The sequence below is a fragment of the Homo sapiens genome, chromosome 11, assembly GCF_000001405.40.
Source record: "Homo sapiens chromosome 11, GRCh38.p14 Primary Assembly".
NCBI classification, from domain to species: Eukaryota; Metazoa; Chordata; class Mammalia; order Primates; family Hominidae; genus Homo; species Homo sapiens.
Genome location: NC_000011.10, coordinates 25,627,702 through 25,649,852, shown reverse-complemented (window position 1 = coordinate 25,649,852; position 22,151 = coordinate 25,627,702). Strand labels below are relative to the sequence as shown.

Sequence of the window (22,151 nt, the reverse complement as noted above, 5' to 3'; positions counted from 1 at the left end):
TATTTAGTCACATTTGCCATTCTCCAATATTGTGTTCTTGGTGACACTTAAGAAGTAATAACATTGAAGATGGCCGAATAGGAGCAGCTCCGGTCTACAGCTCCCAGCGTGAGCGACGCAGAAGACGGGTGATTTCTGCATTTCCATCTGAGTAACTGGGTTCATCTCACTAGGGAGTGCCAGACAGTGGGTGCAGGTCAGTGGGTGCAAGCACAGTCAGCGAGCCAAAACAGGGCGAGGCATTGCCTCACTTGGGAAGTGCAAGGGGTCAGGGAGTTCCCTTTCCTAGTCAAAGAAAGTGGTGACAGATGGCACCTGGAAAATCGGGTCACTCCCACCCGAATACTGCGATTTTCCCACAGGCTTAAAAAACGGCGCACCAGGAGATTAAATCCCGCACCTGGCTCGGAGGGTCCTATGCCCACGGAGTCTCGCTGATTCCTAGCACAGCAGTCTGAGATCAAAATGCAAGGCGGCAGTGAGGCTGAGGGAGGGGCGCCCACCATTGCCAAGGCTTGCTTAGGTAAACAAAGCAGCTGGGAAGCTCAAACTGGGTGGAGCCCACCACAGCTCAAGGAGGCCTGCCTGCCTCTGTAGGCTCCACCTCTGGGGGCAGGGCACAGACAAAAAGACAGCAGTAATCTCTGCAGACTTAAATGTCCCTGTCTGACAGCTTTGAAGAGAGCAGTGGTTCTCCCAGCATGCAGCTGGAGATCTGAGAATAGGCAGACTGCCTCCTCAAGTGGGTCCCTGATGCCTGACCCCCGAGCAGCCTAACTGGGAGGCACCCCCCAGAAGGGGCAGATTGACACGTCACAGGGCTGGGTACTCCAACAGACCTGCAGCTGAGGGTCCTGTCTATTAGAAGGAAAACTAACAAACAAAAAGGACATGCACACCAAAAACCCATCTGTACATCACCATCATCAAAGACCAAAAGTAGATAAAACCACAAAGATGGGGAAAAAACAGAGCAGAAAAACTGGAAACTCTAAAAACCAGAGCACCTCTCCTCCTCCAAAGGAATGCAGTTCCTCACCAGCAACGGAACAAAGCTGGACAGAGAATGACTTTGACGAGCTGAGAGAAGAAGGCTTCAGAGGATCAAATTACTCCGAGCTATGGGAGGACATTCAAACCAAAGGCAAAGACGTTGAAAACTTTGAAAAAAATTTAGAAGAATGTATAACTAGAATAACCAATACAGGGATGTGCTTAAAGGAGCTGATGGAGCTGAAAAGCAAGGCTCGAGAACTACGTGAAGAATGCAGAAGCCTCAGGAGCCGATGCGATCAACTGGAAGAAACGGTATCAGCGATGGAAGATGAAATGAATGGAATGAAGCAAGAAGGGAAGTTTAGAGAAAAAAGAAAAAAAAGAAACGAGCAAAGCCTCCAAGAAATATGGGACTATGTGAAAAGACCAAATCTACGTCTGATTGGTGTACCTGAAAGTGACGGGGAGAATGGAACCAAGTTGGAAAAAACTCTGCAGGATATTATCCAGGAGAACTTCCCCAATCTAGCAAAGACAAGCCAACATTCAGATTCAGCAAATAAAGAGAACGCCAAAAAGATACTCCTTGAGAAGAACAACACCAAGACACATGATTGTCAGACTCACCAAAGTTGAAATGAAGGAAAAAATGTTAAGGGCAGCCAGGGAGAAAGGTTGGGTTACCCTCAAAGAGAAGCCCATCAGACTAACAGCAGATCTCTCAGCAGAAACTCTACAAGCCAGAAGAGAGTGGGGGCCAATATTCAACATTCTTAAAGAAAAGAATTTTCAACGCAGAATTTCACATCCAGCCAAACTAAGCTTCATAAGTGAAGGGGAAATAAAATCCTTTAAAGACAAGAAAATGCTGAGAGATTTTGTCTCCACCAGGCCTGCCCTAAAAGAGAAACTGAAGGAAGCGCTAAACATGGAAAGGAACAACCGGTACCAGGAACTGCAAAATCATGCCAAAATGTAAAGACCATCGAGACTAGGAAGAAACTGCATCAACTAACGAGCAAAATAACCAGCTAAAATCATAATGATAGGATCAAATTCACACATAACAATATTAACTTTAAATGTAAATGGACTAAATGCTCCAATTAAAAGACACAGACTGGCAAATTGGATAAAGAGTCAAGACCCATCAGTGTGCTGTATTCAGGAAACCCATCTCACGGGCAGAGACACATATAGGCTCAAAATAAAAGGATGGAGAAAGATCTACCAAGTAAATGGAAAACAAAAAAAGGCAGGGGTTGCAATCCTAGTCTCTCATAAAACAGACTTTAAACAAACAAAGTTCATAAGAGACAAAGAAGGCCATTACTTAATGGTAAACGGATCAATTCAACAAGAAGAGCTAACTATCCTAAATATATATGCACCCAATACAGGAGCACCCAGATTCATAAAGCAAGTCCTGAGTGACCTATAAAGAGACTTACACTCCCACACATTAATAATGGGAGATTTTGACACACCACTGTCAACATTAGATAGATCAACAAGACAGAAAGTCAACAAGGATACCCAGGAATTGAACTCAGCTCTGCACCAAGCGGACCTAATAGACATCTACAGAACTCTCCACCCCAAATCAACAGAATATACATTTTTTTCAGCACCACACCACACCTATTCCAAAATTGACCACATACTTGGAAGTAAAGCTCTCCTCAGCAAATGTAAAAGAACACAAATTATAACAAACTATCTCTCAGACCACAGTGCAATCAAACTAGAACTCAGGATTAAGAATCTCACTCAAAACCGCTCAACTACATGGAAACTGAACAACCTGCTCCTGAATGACTACTGGGTACATAACGAAATGAAGGCAGAAATAAAGATGTTCTTTGAAACCAATGAGAACAAAGACACAACATACCAGAATCTCTGGGACACATTCAAAGCACTGTGTAGAGGGAAATTTATAGCACTAAATGCCCACAAGAGAAAGCAGGAAAGATCCAAAATTGACACCCTAACATCACAATTAAAAGAACTAGAAAAGCAAGAGCAAACACATTCAAAAGCTAGCAGAAGGCAAGAAATAACTAAAATCGGAGCAGAACTGAAGGAAATAGAGACACAAAAAACCCTTCAAAAAATTAACGAATCCAGGAGCTGGTTTTTTGAAAGGATCAACAAAATTGATAGACCGCTAGCAAGACTAATAAAGAAAAAAAGAGATAAGAATCAAATAGATGCAATAAAAAATGATAAAGGGGATATCACCACCGATCCCACAGAAATACAAACTACCATCAGAGAATACTACAAACACCTCTACGAAAATACACTAGAAAATCTAGAAGAAATGGATAAATTCCTCGACACATACACTCTCCCAAGACTAAACCAGGAAGAAGTTGAATCTCTGAATAGACCAATAACAGGAGCTGAAATTGTGGCAATAATCAATAGCTTACCAACCAAAAAGAGTCCAGGACCAGATGGATTCACAGTTGAATTCTACCAGAGGTACAAGGAGGAACTGGTACCATTTCTTCTGAAACTATTCCAATCAATAGAAAAAGAGGGAATCCTCCCTAACTCATTTTATGAGGCCAGCATCATCCTGATACCAAAGCCGGGCAGAGACACAACCAAAAAAGAGAATTTTATACAAATATCCTTGATGAATGTTGACACAAAAATCTTCAATAAAATACTCGCAAACTGAATCCAGCAGCACATCAAAAAGCTTATCCACCATGATCAAGTGGGCTTCATCCCTGGGATGCAAGGCTGGTTCAATATACGCAAATCAATAAATGTAATCCAGCATATAAACAGAACCAAAGACAAAAACCACATGATTATCTCAATAGATGCAGAAAAGGCCTTTGACAAAATTCAATAACCTTCATGCTAAAAACTCTCAATAAATTACGTATTGATGGGACATATCTCAAAATAATAAGAGCTATCTATGACAAACACACAGCCAATATCATACTGAATGGGCAAAAACTGGAAGCATTCCCTTTGAAAACTGGCACAAGACAGGGATGCCCTCTCTCACCACTCCTATTCAACATAGTGTTGGAAGTTCTGGCCAGGGCAATTAGGCAGGAGGAGGAAATAAAGGGTATTCAATTAGGAAAAGAGGAAGTCAAATTGTCCCTGTTTGCAGATGACATGATTGTATATCTAGAAAACCCCATTGTCTCAGCCCAAAATCTCCTTAAGATGATAAGCAACTTCAGCAGTCTCAGGATACAAAGTCAATGTACAAAAAATCACAAGCATTCTTATACACCAACAACAGACAAACAGAGAGCCAAATCATGAGTGAACTCCCATTCACAACTGCTTCAAAGAGAATAAAATACCTAGGAATCCAACTTACAAGGGATGTGAAGGACCTCTTCAAGGAGAACTACAAACCACTGCTCAAGGAAATAAAAGAGGATACAAACAAATGGAAGAATATTCCATGCTCATGGGTAGGAAGAATCAATATGAAAATGGCCATACTGACCAAGGTAATTTATAGATTCAATGCCATCCCCATCAAGCTACCAATGACTTTCTTCACAGAATTGGAAAAAACTACTTTAAAGTTCATATGGAGCCAAAAAAGAGCCTGCATCGCCAATTCAATCCTGAGCCAAAAGAACAAAGCTGGAGGCATCACACTACCTGACTTCAAACTATACTACAAGACTACTGTAACCCAAACAGCATGTTACTGGTATCAAAACAGAGATATAGATCAATGGAACAGAACAGAGCCCTCAGAAATAACGCCGCATATCTACAACTATCTGATCTTTGACAAACCTGAGAAAAACAAGCAATGGGGAAAGGATTCCCTATTTAATAAATGGTGCTGGGAAAACTGGCTAGCCATATGTAGAAAGCTGAAACTGGATCCCTTCCTTACACCTTATACAAAAATCAATTCAAGATGAATTAAAGACTTAAATGTTAGACCTAAAACCATAAAAACCCTAGAAGAAAACCTAGGCATTACCATTCAGGACATAGGCATGGGCAAGGACTTCATGTCTAAAACACCAAAAGCAATGGCAATAAAAGCTAAAATTGACAAATGGGATCTAGTTAAACTAAAGAGCTTCTGCACAGCAAAAGAAACTACCATCAGAGTGAACAGGCAACCTACAAAATGGGAGAAAATTTTCGCAACCTACTCATCTGACAAAGGACTAACATCCAGAATCTACAATGAACTCAAACAAATTTACAAGACAAAAAACAAACAACCCCATCAAAAAGTGGGCAAAGGACATGAACAGACACTTCTCAAAAGAAGACATTTATGCAGCCAAAAAACACATGAAAAAATGCTCACCATCACTGGCCATCAGAGAAATGCAAATCAAAACCACAATGAGATACCATCTCACACCAGTTAGAATGGCAATCATTAAAAAGTCAGGAAACAACAGGTGCTGGAGAGGATGTGGAGAAACAGGAACACTTTTACACTGTTGGTGGGACTGTAAATTAGTTCAACCATTGTGGAAGTCAGTTTGGCGACTCCTCAGTGATCTAGAACTAGAAATACCATTTGACCCAGCCATCCCATTACTGGGTATCTACCCAAAGGACTATAAATCATGCTGCTATAAAGACACATGCACACGTATGTTTATTGTGGCACTATTCACAATAGCAAAGACTTGGAACCAACCCAAATGTCCAACAATGATAGACTGGATTAAGAAAAGGTGGCACATATACACCATGGAATACTATGCAGCCATAAAAAACGATGAGTTCATGTCCTTTGTAGGGACATGGATGAAATTGGAAATCATTCTCAGTAAACTATCGCAAGAACAAAAAACCAGACACTGCATGTTCTCACTCATAAGTGGGAATTGAAAAATGAGAACACATGGACACAGGAAGGGGAACATCACACTCTGGGGACTGTTGTGGGGTGGGGAGAGGGGGGAGGCATAGCACTGGGAGATATACCTAATGCTAGATGACGAGTTAGTGGGTGCAGCGCACCAGCATGGCACATGTATACATAGGTAACTAACCTGCACATTGTGCACATGTACCCTAAAACTTAAAGTAAAAAAAAAAATAGCAGCTAATGAAACAATAAAAAAAAAGAATTAATAACATTGTATTAGAGTATGGGTAAGTCAATTGGCCAAGAAGGATTTACATGATTGGGCTTTGTGTAGAAAAAACCCTCAAGCTATTTTTCCTCTACTCTCACACCACCAGAACAACAATGTGTGAGAAGACTTCTATGACCAAATGTGTGAGATTTTTTTTCTCACACCCCAAGCAGCAGTTACCAGTTGGATGTCCTCCAATTTAATTTTGATGCTGTCTACTGGGAGATACTGTTACATCCCTTGGGTTGAGGGCTCAGTCCTCAAGACTGTCCACCCCTACCTACACACACACCCCTTCAGATACCAGTGTCAAATGGTGGAAAATAGTCTGGAACTTCTGATTGACTGGCTTCAAGTTGGTAATCCCATGAACCTCTTTGGGTTCATTTAATTTGCTGGAGCAGCTGACCATTTAATTTGCTGGAGCAGAAATCAAGGAAACAATTATTTACATTTACCCATTTATTATGAAGGATATTGTAATGGATAGAGATGTAGAAATAAATAGAGTGAGATATGGGGGAAGGGATGCAGATCTTTCATGCTCTCCCTAGGCCAATCATCCTAGAGCCTCCACATTGAGCAGATGGATATTCAGAAGGTCCCTGAACCCAGTCCTTTGGATTTTTATAGAAACTTCCTGATGTCAGCATTCCTTCTCCCAGGGCAAGGCAGGACCCTCTCTGGGGATGGTAGTAAGACCCAAAATTAGAAAGGCAGGGTAAGATTAGAGTCCAGCTTTGAGGCAGGTGAAAGGAGAGCAGAGGAAGGTCAGAGAGATTGTTTTCTGAGACCTTCGCCTAAGGCCTAACAAACTCAATATTATAACAAATGACTATAACAAGGGCCATGGGAGCTTTGAGCCAGAAACTGTGGACAAAAATACATATATGGTGTGTTTTCATATATATATATATATATTTATATATATATACACACACACACACACACTCTATATATATTCATACATATATATGCTATATATATATACATGTATATATGTATATATACACTTTTTATATATATAATATATTATAAAGTACAGAAACTTTTCCTATTATATTTCCAGAGTTTCCACAACATTATACCGTCTTCCACTTCTGAGATAGTGAAGAAGTTTGAGGCAGGACACTGTTCTTGCTGTACTATCTTTATTTCCCTTTCACCAACTACATTATCAGAATCACAGGACTTTTTAAATGTTCTTATTATATCACTCACTGATACAAAAAAGAAAGTATGAAGTCACTCAAACCATATGGTTTCATGGCTAAGGCCATATATGTGTTTCCATAATAAGATTCAAATTTTCATCTAGATTCAACTTAACGAATATTGATCCAGTTAATTAAATAATTAATAATTAGGTTTACTTATAGGAGTTTTAATTGTAAAAACATGTGGAATAAAACGCTGGCTCACTTGTTTAATCTTGGAATTAAGCCAGGAAAATCACCTGCCAAACACATACAAGTGTTTAGTCTAGAGACCAGGGCTGAAGGGGTACAATCATATTTTAATATTTTCATACCTGAGATAACACAAAGAGCCATATTATTAAACCAGAGACATATGAATCAGAATTCTTACCAAGTATCCAGCTTTACTTCAAATTTTTAGGATACAGGGCACCTTCTGCTACTTTCCCCATTTTTTTTGCCACATTAGTATGTATCTGGCTCAGATTTTACATCTGAGGTCTGTAAGTGATACATGATGAGCATCAAATGTACACAAGGAATCTATTTAAGTAATGAAATCTCTCCACTTTTATGCTAATATGTCCATAGCTTAAGTAATATTTCCATATAACCACACACAACAAATCCATCAATTTTAGGTATGTTTCCCATAAGGAATCCTAGACAGACTATGTACATCATGGTAAAAGCATTCTATAGAGGACTTCCAGTTAGTAATATCATAAGTGTGTTTATCAGGATGTCTGTTAGTGGTATGTATATAAGGAGTTTTGATCAAGTCCTTTTCTTCTCCTCCTGGACCACCTCCTGTTAAAGCTGGAGAATGGGCTGCAGGCAGGTGCCTGTTTTGCCACCATGAAGATTTGCATTGTAAAAGTTCTTAAAAATGCTTTTATGTAATGAAACTTGTGTAGATGTGAAAATTGAAAAAAAATATTACTTGAATCTTAAACATTGAGGAGGAGAGTTTTGAAGAGAGCTGGAAAGGAGGCAAGGGGAAATTGTTTTTATTTTTCTAATGATGATTAAAGTGAGCCTGATCTAAGGCAGTGATCAGGCTCACTTTTTTTTGTATTAAAAAAGAAGAAAAGAAAAGCCAGAGAAAAAACATTTAATGCATGAGAAAATTTGCATCTATTGGATGTGAAATGGGAAGAAAAAAATTACTTCTAATTTCTTGAATGGACATCACAGGTTCTATTTGATAAGAAATTTTAAAAAGTATATGTATTTTCATTAACATTGATTTCACTCATTATTAGAGGCCCTTTTATACTGCATGAAGGAATACAATTTATATGGGCCTACCTTAGTCACTACAGATGAAAGATATTTACACACTGGCTTCTTCACCAAAAATTTATCTAGATATGCATAAAAGGAAATTATCTATCATTTAAAAAAGAAAAATGTTGGACATTTAGCAACAAAGACATTAGAAACTTTTACACTTATTTTACAGACTCGAAACATATTTCATATTTGCAAATTGTATTAATTGAAAATTAAAAATAAGCAATTTATTCTATCATTAAAAACACTACTGATACATGTCTCTTTTCATTCTGTGAAATCATCTGTTTTATATATCAGTTGCACTATGGAGAAATTAATTTTAATTTTAATTTTACTGAACTACTTAAACTCCTTTGTTAGGCCTATAACTATTCATTCTTCAAATAGCTCAAAGAGAGTTCGCTGGAGAGTAATTAGAGAAGAATAACATATTATACAAATCCTGGGAAATATTAATTCATGTAATTAACTTCCAGACAGAATAAAAGTCATATTTTTTCTTTAGTCATGTTCATTTACATACATGTTGCTAATATCTTAAAACACATACTTTTTTTATATTTTAGTTAAATATTACAGATGACATTTTTAATTTTAAAAAGTCATTTCATCTAATTTCTTTATCATAGTTTATTTGATGTTATAATAGTCTCTGCAATTGATGTTGCCCTCCTGTTACACCATTGTCCCTGCTTCTACCTAAATAAACACTGGGCTCTGTTGTTTCTTTTTTTAACTCATGAACTTTCCCTCAACAACTATCTGCTGTGTTTCCTGAATTATTATATGTTTATTCTTTTAAAGCATTTTCTGTGTCAGTTGAGTCCCTGAAGAACAGGCATGAATACAAAGGAGTGTAAAAGCTCTTTGGCAGATGCTTCCTATGAAAGATAAAAGTGGGAGAAAGCCATACTGAACAAGAAAGGTCTTCAGACAATGACAGAGTTGTGAAATTAAAGGGAGAAATTGGAATGGGTGAGGAGAGCCTCTTATGATGATGTCGATCTGAAAATGTGTTGGTCAATTCAACATGGAGCTCTAGAGAAAAGTTAGCCTATTAGAGAAGGTATAGGATAGAAATGGTGCAGGGCTGCCTGGAATGACAATGCCCTTGGCTAGAATATGGAGGTGGATTTTGAATTCCAGCTGGAGACTGCCAACTAACTGCATTACTGGAACAGCACAGATTATTTCTTAAAGAATATAAAAATGTGGGTCTTCTCCAATGCTACCATTCACCTGTTGCATTGAATTAATTCACTTTTCTAAAAATATTTGGGCATAAGCTCCTTCAGACTTTCTTGGCTTTTTTTTCTGAGGAGATACTTAGAGATGAGTGGGCTGAACTACAGCCTTCTCACTGTGGTTGATTTGGGGGCCATAATTTGTACCTGTTATTCTTTTCATCCACTTTTCATTCTTAATTTCTATAAACATTGAGAGTTTATAGAAATTAAAACATTAAACCAACATTCTGTTGGTTTAAATAAATATTTTGGTGATGTGGCTCAAATCCTCATTCTGGAAAATTCTGAGAAACTGTTCATCATACTTTTTATTTTCTCTAGATTGTTATATCTACCATTCTGTCTCAGTTGGACAAAGGATTACCATGAGGTACCCAGGTGAACAACCTGTTTTCTAGATATAGTCTTCTCAGACCCCATTATGTAATAGAAACTCTAACTTCTCTGGCTTATCTGGGTCAATTATTCTTACAACAATGGTGATTCCTTGCATGCTGCTTCTCTGATTAAAGGAGTCTAAATTGCTTAAGTAGTAATCGTAGATTTCTAGTTGAAGGAATCTTTCTTGTGTTTCCTAGAAAATGTATGTTTCGTTTGTGACCAGAACCTGTAATCCTGAAGTCCCCAGAATTTTAGGGATAGAGAGTACATCATTCCCCATTAGTCACTGAGAATGATGGGAAGTCATGCCACTCTTTGACTCATTGGTCTTTGGACTCTTATGTACTTTCTATTGTGCACACACCACCAAGTAGAGGTTTCTGACTTACTGTATATACTGCACCCTGTAGGACAGTCTTCTCTGAACTGCCACTTCATCTGTGCCTTTAGAAATTCATTCAAACACTCATTCTTTAAACACGGTGGCATTATGTAGACAGAGTGGCATTTCTACGCTATAAATCCTATCAGTGTCTTGCTTAAAACTGAGCAATCTTCTCAATTTGACCATAGTAAAACCAAAATTTCTAACCACAAGGGATATTTCATGGTTTGTCTTTTTCAGCAAAATTTCTACTGATCAAGGTCAGTGCTTTTCACATCATGATAATCTATAAATATTAGCAATCTGATTGCTTACCTATTCTTTTGTTGGCCATATTCTCTTCTTTCCAAAATTTCATTATTATGACATAATTATTTACATATTAGGAAGGACTATTTATTTACATGATATTGAATTACAAGAGACAGTCCCCAACTTATAACCAAAAGGGGAATTTATAGTTTAATAATTCAGAAATATAGGGATTCACATGTTTTATATCTTAGGGTCCTCAGAGCAAAGTGATAGTATATTCAAATTTGATAATTTATAAAAAAGTTTAATAAAGGGATTTTTACAAATGTGTAGGCAGGATTTAGGGACATTTACAAGGAACATGGCAGGGAGCAGTTACCATATCCCACTGAAATTTTGAATTAAGACTGCCGCTTGGCACTAGCTGTGAACTTTAATAAAAAACCCTTAGTGATCCAGGAGGAATGGAATAGAGGGGAAACTTAGCTTGACCTCATGCTTCCTACCTTCCTGTCTCTGGTTGCTAGCTTGTTTGACTAAATCCAATTAGAAGCCATGTGAAAAATAAGTGCATTAATGTAGTCTGTACAAGTGAGCCTCTTGAAGTAGAAAAGCAAAGGGAGGGATGGCAATGAATGGATATGTGAGAGCTAACAGAAAATATCCATAACCTTTTATTTCAGATATTGCTAGATCTAAGGGCTCAATTGTTTCCGGGCTTTTAACTTTCCATTTTTCCCTCGACTCCGCTTTCCTCTAGGTATTAATTAATGGATGCAATCATTTCCTCCTTGAGTTCAGGAAAGATGAATGTGAGAAGCTTCAGCTTAGAATGTATCCACAGCTCATAACTCTAGAAAAGAAACAGATCATTTCTTTTCCAGCATCTGAATATTAAATATGAAAGTTTATTCTGTTGGGGTAACATTTTCATGCTCAGTTTGATAATGACACTACAAGGATGGATACTATTATGCACAAGTCCAGATAAATTTGTATGTTAGGGTAGAGGGAATTCTCCAAGATAGATTGCTTTACCAGCATAAAAGAATTTATAATTAGTTCTCTAAAGTTAATTCTGGAAATATATCCTAATAAAGAACTGGAGAGTCTATATATATATATAATATATATATATATATATATCATTAGCATTTTATTGAATATTTTACTGTTTTTGAAATATTTCATTAGGATACTTTTTTTAGTATAATCATAGACATAATACATATGTATATATTTATATACGCTAATGTGTTGATGTCTAAATGATTAGTATGTCATATGCCATGTATGAATATATCAGTTTTACTTTAATTTCACAATTATTTATTATCTTTTTTCTAAAATACTGTATGGAAAATAGTACTTCATTTACAACTTTTTAAAGTTTTTTAATTGTTAGAGTGGTTGAAGCTTGCTTTATAAATTTGTTTATTTTGCATTACTATATCTTGTATTAATTATTTATTTATGCCTTTTATTTGCCTATTGTAGGCTTGGCAATGTTTTACATTCTGTCAGTATATTCTGTCCATATATTAATATCAGCAGAACTTCTGTAGTTTTAAATGAAAAAATTCATCATTCCTGTTTCTCTTGTGAATGGCTTGATGGTTAACTATTTGGATTCATTCAACAGAGAGTAAGTAATTATTAAGTAAGCTATATTCTAGATATTTATATTGAACAAAAAGTCATGGCTATTAACTCCATAAAGTGTATTTTGAATTAAGATCTTTTACATTCCCCAAAATTCGTATGCATTCATTTTCAAATCTACTAAGTGTTGTTTTGATTTTTTTCAATAACTGTGATTGTTGGTTTAAAGTCTGTTTTATCTGAGACTAGGATTGCAACCCCTGCCTTTTTTTGTTTTCCATTTTCTTGGTAGATCTTCTTCCATCCTTTTATTTTGAGCCTATGTGTGTCTCTGCATGTGAGATGGGTTTCCTGAATACAGCACACTGATGGGTCTTGACTCTTTATCCAATTTGCCAGTCTGTGTCTTTTAATTGGAGCATTTAGTCCATTTACATTTAAAGTTAATATTGTTATGTGTGAATTTGATCCTGTCATTATGATGTTAGCTGGTTATTTTGTTCGTTAGTTGATGCAGTTTCTTCCTAGTCTCGATGGTCTTTACATTTTGGCATGATTTTGCAGTGGCTGGTACTGGTTGTTCCTTTCCATATTTAGTGCTTCCTTCAGGAGCTCTTTTAGGGCAGGCCTGGTGGTGACAAAATCTCCCAGCATTACTACAAGGGATGTGAAGGACCTCTTCAAGGAGAACTACAAACCACTGCTCAAGGAAATAAAAGAGGATACAAACAAATGGAAGAACATTCCATGCTCATGGGTAGGAAGAATCAATATCGTGAAAATGGCCATACTGCCCAAGGTAATTTACAGATTCAATGCCATCCCCATCAAGCTACCAATGCCGTTCTTCACAGAATTGGAAAAAACTACTTTAAAGTTCATATGGAACCAAACAAAGAGCCCGCATTGCCAAGTCAATCGTAAGCCAAAAGAACAAAGCTGGAGGCATCACACTACCTGACTTCAAACTATACTACAAGGTTACAGTAACCAAAACAGCATGGTACTGGTACCAAAACAGAGATATAGATCAATGGAACAGAACAGAGCCCTCAGAAATAATGCCGCATATCTACAACTATCTGATCTTTGACAAACCTGAGAAAAACAAGCAATGGGGAAAGGATTCCCTATTTAATAAATGGTGCTGGGAAAACTGGCTAGCCATATGTAGAAAGCTGAAACTGGATCCCTTCCTTACACCTTATACAAAAATCAATTCATGATGGATTAAAGACTTAAACGTTAGACCTAAAACCATAAAAACCCTAGAAGAAAACCTAGGCATTACCATTCAGGACATAGGCATAGGCAAAGACTTCATGTCTAAAACACCAAAAGCAATGGCAACAAAAGCCAAAATTGACAAATGGGATCTAATTAAACTAAAGAGCTTCTGCACAGCAAAAGAAACTACCATCAGAGTGAACAGGCAACCTACAAAATGGGAGAAAATTTTCGCAACCTACTCATCTGACAAAGGACTAATATCCAGAATCTACAATGAACTCAAACAAATTTACAAGAAAAAAACAACAACCCCATCAAAAAGTGGGTGAAGGACATGAACAGACACTTCTCAAAAGAAGACATTTATGCAGCCAAAAAACACATGAAAAAATGCTCATCATCACTGGCCATCAGAGAAATGCAAATCAAAAGCACAATGAGATACCATCTCACACCAGTTAGAATGGCAATCATTAAGAAGTCAGGAAACAACAGGTGCTGGAGAGGATGTGGAGAAATAGGAACACTTTTACACTGTTGGTGGGACTGTAAACTAGTTCAACCATTGTGGAAGTCAGTATGGCGATTCCTCAGGGATCTAGAACTGGAAATACCATTTGACCCAGCCATCCCATTACTGGGTATATACCCAAAGGACTATAAATCATGCTGCTATAAAGACACATGCACACGTATGTTTATTGTGGCATTATTCACAATAGCAAAGACTTGGAACCAACCCAAATGTCCAACAATGATAGACTGGATTAAGAAAATGTGGCACATATACACCATGGAATACTATGCAGCCATAAAAAATGATGAGTTCATGTCCTTTGTAGGGACATGGATGAAATTGGAAATCATCATTCTCAGTAAACTATCGCAAGAACAAAAAACCAAACACCGCATATTCTCACTCATAGGTGGGAACTGAACAATGAGATCACATGGACACAGGAAGGGGAATATCACACTCTGGGGACTGTTGTGGGGTGGGGGGAGGCAGGAGGGATAGCACTGGGAGATATACCTAATGCTAGATGATGAGTTAGTGGGTGCAGTGCACCAGCACGGCACATGTATACATATGTAACTAACCTGCACAATGTGCACATGTACCCTAAAACTTAAAAGTATAATAATAAAAAAAATTAAAAAAAGAATAAAAAAAAACTGTGATTGTACTTCTAGTTTAATATTTCTCAAATATTGTTTTTCTTGATACTTGCAACAAAACAAGATAAATGTAATGAAAAAGTGTACTATAAATATGTTGTGAGAGGATAAACAAAACTAAATATTTGTATTTGTATTTGTATTCTCCTCTTCTTTAGTATGTTGTAGTACGCTGTGAATTTCTGAGAGTTATAGTAGTATTTTCAAAGCATTTCCCCAGTGATTTTTTCATTCTGTAGCACCAATTAGGACCAGTATACAATATTTCAATTTAAAAAATTCTGCTGTAGAATATCTCTACAGCTATCTACCTGTCATCTATCCACCTTGATTAACTGTCTCTATATGTTAAAAATACTTATTCTTCAAACCCACCTAAATCTTCTTTTGAATGGGGCAGAAATTGTAGCTCTAAATTACCTTCCCCACCTTATCCAGCTACACTAGAACACTTATTACATTTTTTCCTTTTTAGAGTTTTTATTCTTTTTACCAATTTTCTGTTAATTTTCCATGTAAATTTGGGTATTTCAAGAATCTGTATCCTAATACATACGTCTATACTTCTTTTAGTATCATCAACAAATTGTTTTGCTGCTTCTCTATTCTTTAATTAAAAATTACATTGAGGCTAGTATATTTTTTTAAATTTTGTTTTGTTTCATTTTTCGGCTTCTTTTTAATCTATTTTTCAATTTGATTTTATGTTTTGTTATTAAATTAATAAAATATTATTCTGATTGAATTTATATTGTGTTATGTTGACTAAGAAAGCTGAAGAAATTAATAAACATCAATATTTAACCATCTCTTCCAGGAACATGATTTGCTTTTTCTTTAAGTATGTTAAAATACTTACATTTAAATATTGCTGATAAACTATATACTATTTGATAATATTTAAGATTTCTGCATCAGTACACGTAGATAAGATCACTCTATAATTTTTTACAAAGTTATCCTTATTAGATTTTGGGACAGTCTCACTCATGCAAGTTTTAAAAATATCTGTACAAAGTAAATCATTTATGTGTAACTCAATAGTGTTGACACATTTTATTTCTGATAAGAAAATTAGATGCATATAAATAGAAAAAATAATTTGGGTATAAGACTGTGTTTAAGATTAATGACAATGATTTATAGTTACATATTTAAAAACATTTTCTAATACATGTTTTTGAAATAAATTTCAGATGATTTTTAAGACACAAAAATATTTTTATTAAAGTAATTAATTTCCTTCTATTTTGAGTATTGAATCAAACATAAGTCAAACATAATACTCCTACTGAATATTGAGATCGAACATAATCTTACTCTTTTAACTGACTTTTAATTGTTCTAAAAGCATTGATCATAAATTATTACATTTCCTTCCCAAAACTGAATGGTTTTATTGTGATATTAGGTGTTTAAAAAATCTCTATGACAGACACATTGGGATAATGAAAAGCTTAATGGCATAAATGTAATGACATCATCTACCTTCTGTAAGTAAACTCACTTTGTGATCTAAGGCAAATCTCTTCATCTTTCTGGCCCTCTGCTTCCTTGTATATAAAATTAAGTTGTGAAATCACAGCACCAACCAAAACCGGCCAAACTTTATTGCTAAAAGAATGTCAAGTTATCTTCTAGGTATAACAGCCAAAATTGCAAGTCTTGTAGCCTGGGCATGTACAATAGAAAAAGCTTTGACATCTAACAACATCCAGAAACTAGGTAACCTCCCCAAGAAATTCACCTCAACACACTTTACTGTAAATGATCAAATTTGAAGCCTTCCAATCACATCCTCCCAAGCCAACATTTCTAAATCCTTTCCCTTGCCCTCTGACCCCTTAAAACTTGTGCTAGACCCAAAATCAGGGAGACAGATTTGAGCCATATCTCCTGTCTCCCTGCTGGCCAGTCTCACAATGAAACCTTTCTCTTCTCCACAGCTAGTGCTACAGTATTGGCTTCTATGCACATTGTTCAGCTATCTCATTTGCTCAGTAACAGGCATCCATAACTGACATTAGTTTACTATATATGCAGCATTCATTTTCGGATCCACTTTTCAGTTTATTTGGTTTTGCTGAGGTTGAGCCTCCCCCCAGTCTGCTTGATGTTGAAGTTGATCTAGAACTGGTCAATAAGAATTATATCTCTATAGTTATATTATTATTTGGTAGTAATGGTGAAATGAGGACAATCTAAATTGATTCTAAAAATTTTGCTAGAATTGTTGAGGAAGAAGTACTCACTTTTTACCTTGCTTATAAAGGTAGTGAGAAGTAAGAGGTAGTAGACATCTTTGTCACAACTCTAGATAAGTGCACTTCAGAAAAAGTTGATAGAGAAAAAGGCAATGTAAAGAAACATAAATACAAAGTTGAAAATAAAAATTTCATGACATCCTTGCTACTTTGAATCCAACTGAGCTTGAAGTTGGTTCTCCCCCTGGAAATTTATATTATGTATGTCAATATCCTTGCCCCTTTTTGTATGAACTAATTTGTGATGTGTCTGTCACATATAACACAATGTTATAACATAAAATATAGTCTTGATTTAAATAAACTTTATAAATTAGTATTCTAATGTTTTTAAATGCTAAAGTCGTTTATGGAAAGAAACAAAAAAACAATGTTCAAAACTTGTTTGAAGAAAGACACTATTCCCCTATAAAATTTACTATTTGAAAGCTAGCATTTTTTTGAATAAGTTTTGAATGTTTACTTAACATGTTGACCAAAATTATCTTATAGGTACACTTAAAACCTTCATTAATAAAGTCAAGATAAATATTACATAACACAAGATACTTTTAAAAATACTTATAAATTAGACATGTTGCCCTGTGCCTGCAATCCTAGTGACTCAGGAGGCTGAGGAAAGAAGATTTCTTGTGCCCAGGAGATGGAAGCTGCAGTGAGTTATGATCCTGCCATTGCACTCCAGCCTGGGTGATAGAATGAGGCCCTGAGATTCCATCTGTCTCTCTTTTTTTTGCATGACAGAGTCTTGACTTTTGAATGATGATCAGTACACAAAGTAATAACATGTAACAAGTTCCTGAATTCTATCATCTAATAATTTGATTAAGAGAAATTAAAAGCAGCCCAATCATATTAGTATTCATTGTTCTAGCCATTAGTAGGAATTAACAACTTTAAGGCTGGCTGCTGCTTCACACAGGTTACAAAAACCTATTTACTAGTTTTACACAGATAAAGTTCTTGACCTTCAAGAAAGCTTTAGAGAGAAAAAATTAATCTCTTTCTTTCTTCAAAGAATTCCTTTTACTAAATCTAAGAAACAGAAAGTCAACATCATTATATATGTTGCTTGAGCAAAAAGGCATAGGAAAACAGACAACATATACCCATTAAATTTCTAAGAAACAAGAGATAAAAAGACTAAATCTTGCTGGGTGCAGTTGCTCACAACTGTAATTTCAGCACTTTGAGAGGCTGAGACGGGTGGATCAGTTAAGGTCAAGAGTTCAAGACCAGCCTGGCCAACATGGTGAAACCCTATCTCTACTAAAAATACAAAGAAAAAAAAAATTAGCTGGGCATTGTGGTGTGTGCCTGTAATCCCAGCTACTCTGGAGGCTGAGGCAGGAGAATTGCTTGAACCCATGAGGCGGAGGTTACAGTGAGCTGAGATTGAGTCACTGCACTCCAGCCTGGACAACAGAGCAAGACTCTATCTCAAAGAAAAAAAAAAGAGATTAAATCTCTAAATAAGTTCCAAGTCTGTACAGAGGCTAGATTTGATACTCTTTGAAGAATGATGGGACCTACTATAAAATACAGAAATAATTTAATGCCTTTTCATAAGAATAAAACTCAAGCTGTGCTCAAGCATCATATTCCATGAGGACATCTAAAATGACAATCTATGGAAGAGATGCATCTTTCTTCTCTTATCCATTTATGGAGTAGATTTCATGGATTTTTGGCTGGATGTCTCAAAGACCAACAAGTGACCCAAGCCTTCATCCCTGTTCTGCCTGAAGTAGTTCTGGAAGATGATCATCTTCTCCTAGGTCTCCTCCACTTCAGTGCTGCAACTGCCCTATGATCCCAGTGAATGGGTTTCTTGGCCTTTAACTCTTCTCCCTCTGCAGGAGGTACTGTTCAATTTCAGCCTTAGCTTCTTTGGCCTGGGTCAGCCTCTGTTTATTTGGCTTGTGGGCCTCCATCACCTCTGCCTGCAACAGCTACTGGATCACCTGCAACTGACTTGCCATGGCAGCAGCCTGAGATACCATCTCTTAAAAATAAAATAATAATAATGAAAAAAAAGCTTATAAATGACCTTCTTATTGGCTTAGTCCAATTCTCTGGCATATTTTACCTGGATTATTATAATAGCCTTCTAACTGTTCTTTCCATTTTTACATGTTTCTTATTAGTCTGTTCTCAATACATCCGTTGAAGTTACTGCTTTAGAATACAACTAACATCACCCTTGGTTCAGAACATTTTAATGGCGTGTTCAAAGGGAATTTAAAAAGCTCTAATGGCCTGAATGGCCCTCCATGATATCATCTCCAAGATCTCACTGACATCAAATGTTATCACTCTCCCTCCACAAACCATACCATAGGGCACTCCTTGCTTTTTCTCATATATTAAACATATTCCTCTCCCAAGTGTCTACATTATTCCTCCTACAAATATATCTGTGGCTTCTTTCAAATTTCTATTCCCTTTCCTTGCTCAGTTTTTCTGTTTCACTTAGCTCTAATCAATTACTTATTTATTTTTCTCTTTTACCCTTGTTCCAACCTCAGTCAGAAATTCAGCTTCTTATGACCATGAGATATAGATTTAAAAAAATAATTATTTTATTCATTAATGGGCACTCAGTGTTCAGAACAATGCTTGCAAATAGTTGGAGTCAAAAAGTATGTTGAATTAAGAGATTAGTAAATGTGCTGGTTTATGAATGACAATAAATGTAATACAGTTGTTGATCAATAGCTATTTTTTGAATTGAAGGACAAATGAATGATTAAATGAATTAAAATAAAGTGACAAGTATATTTCTGATATACTCTGGCCATATCAAACAAAAAGCAGTACATTGTACGCTACAAAGACTTTGCAGTTGAATGGCAGACAGATAATGCCATCTTACATTTATAACTATCCTTGTAATTTTCAAAGTCTCTTATTATCTTTGATTTATAAAAACATCCTTTTGAGATGGAGAGCTAGTTACCAATTTATTCTTTGATCCAAATTTGACCTCCTTTTCTTGGCTTTGTGATACCAGACCTGGACTTTATAAACGGTTCTCCTTTGCCGGATGGCACAATATTGTGCTTTGTTATTAAAGGGTAAAGAGGAAACATTGAAGAAGAAAAGGGTTTGTCTTACTACCTCAAATGTGCTCCTCTCTTCTAGGGGCTGCATAATTCAGTAGCCAGTGGTGTGTGGAGCATCTTGTATCACCCATTTCCAGCAGGCAGTGTCTCAATGAGTTCCTCTGGCATCACAATGAGCGGTTTGCTGCTTGCCAGGCCCACTTTTTTTGGATCTTCCTAAACTTCTCCACTATTCAGTGGGCACATTCTATCCAACAAGCTGTTTATTTATCGAGGGTGGTCCTCTGGACGTTTGTTTCTCTCTTGGGCCCTCTGCCTCAGCCATCACAGTGTTGGCTGCCCTCTGTCTCTGCTATTCTTGTCATATATTTATTTTTACTTCCTAGGAATTAATGACTTGATACTACTTAATACTACTTTATATTAATTTTTCTTAAATTATGGAGTACTTCTGTCTTCTGACTGTACCCTCCCTAATACAAATAGACATAAAATGTCCTATCTTATTAATAAGGAAAATTGTATCAGTCCATTCTCATGATGCTGATAAAGACATACCCAAGACTGGGTAATTTTTTAAAAAAAGGAGATTTAATGGACTCTCAGTTCCATGTGGCTGGGGAGGCCTCACAATTATGGTGGAAGGCAAAAGGCACATCTTACTTGGTGGCAGACAAGAGAGAATTTATGCAGGAAAACTCCCTCTTATAAAACCATCAGATCAGCCAGGCGCAGTGGCTCACGCCTGTAATCCCAGCACTTTGGGAGGCCGAGGCGGGCGGATCACGAGGTCAGGAGATCGAGACCATCCTGGCTAACACAGTGAAACCCCGTCTCTACTAAAAAACACAAAAAATTAGCCGGGCGTGGTGGCGGGCGCCTGTAGTCCCAGCTACGCAGGAGGCTGAGGCAGGAGAATGGCGTGAACCCGGGAGGCGGAGCTTGCAGTGAGCCGAGATCGCGCCACTGCACTCCAGCCTGGGCAACAGAGCGAGACTCCGTCTCAAAAAAAAAAAAAAAAAAAAAAAGAATTCAAGACCAGCCTGACCAACATGGTGAAACCCCATCTCTACTAAAGAAGAAAAATTAGCTGGGTGTGGTGGCAGGTGCCTATAATCCCAGCTACTTGGGACGCTGAGGGAGGAGAATCGATTGAGCCCAGGAGAAGGTTGCAGTGAGCTGAGATTGCACCACTGCACTCCAGCCTGGGTGACAGAGCAAGACTCCCTCTCAAAAGAAACAAAACAAAACAAAAAACCCACCAGATCTTGTGAAACTTATTCACTATCATGAGAACATCATAGGAAAGACCTGTTACTGGAGGGTCTTTTTTCTTAGAGCTACCAACTCCCAAGATGGTGGCTGGCCGCTCCCAAGATGGTGGCAAGCCGCTTCCAAGACGGTGGTGGGCCGAGATGGTGGTGGGCCACTCCCAAGATGGTGGCAGGATGCTCCCAAGATGATGGCAGCTGCTCCCAAGATGGCAGCAAGCCTTTTGTTCTCTAACCGGGGCTTCTTGGCCTCACAGATTCCAAGGAATGAAACCTTGGGCCATGCAGTGAATGGTATAGCTCTATTAGAAGCTGTGGGTCACAGAAGAGAACCTTGAAATCCAGTGACTAGTGTTCAGCTCAATTAGGACAAACCCAGGCACTTAGCCACGTAGGAACCATGGCGAGCCTCTAGCGCAATCGGGAGTGGCAATGGGTGCCTTGCTGGATGAGAAGCACAGCAGACAGAGAGCAAAAGCTCAGCTTGAGCCTGAACAAATACAGACCGGAAGAGTGTGCAGTTGCAAGATTTAACAGAGTGAAAACAGAGCTCCCATACAATGGGAAGGGACCCAAAGAGGGCTGTCCGAACTGGCTTGAATGCCTGGGTTTATATCCCAATCATTGTTCCTCCCTCTGTGCTCTCAGGTGATAGATGATTTGA

General features: G+C 37.3%; 1 long non-coding RNA gene and 1 pseudogene across 2 annotated transcripts in view; both read right to left on the bottom strand.

Moving 5' to 3' along the window:
• Positions 1 to 22,151, bottom strand: part of LINC02699 (long intergenic non-protein coding RNA 2699) — a 470,852-nt gene that overhangs the window by 274,599 nt on the left and 174,102 nt on the right. The gene's annotated exons all lie outside the window — the stretch shown is intronic.
• On the bottom strand, positions 18,807 to 19,133 carry LOC107984367 (V-type proton ATPase subunit G 1-like; annotated as a pseudogene).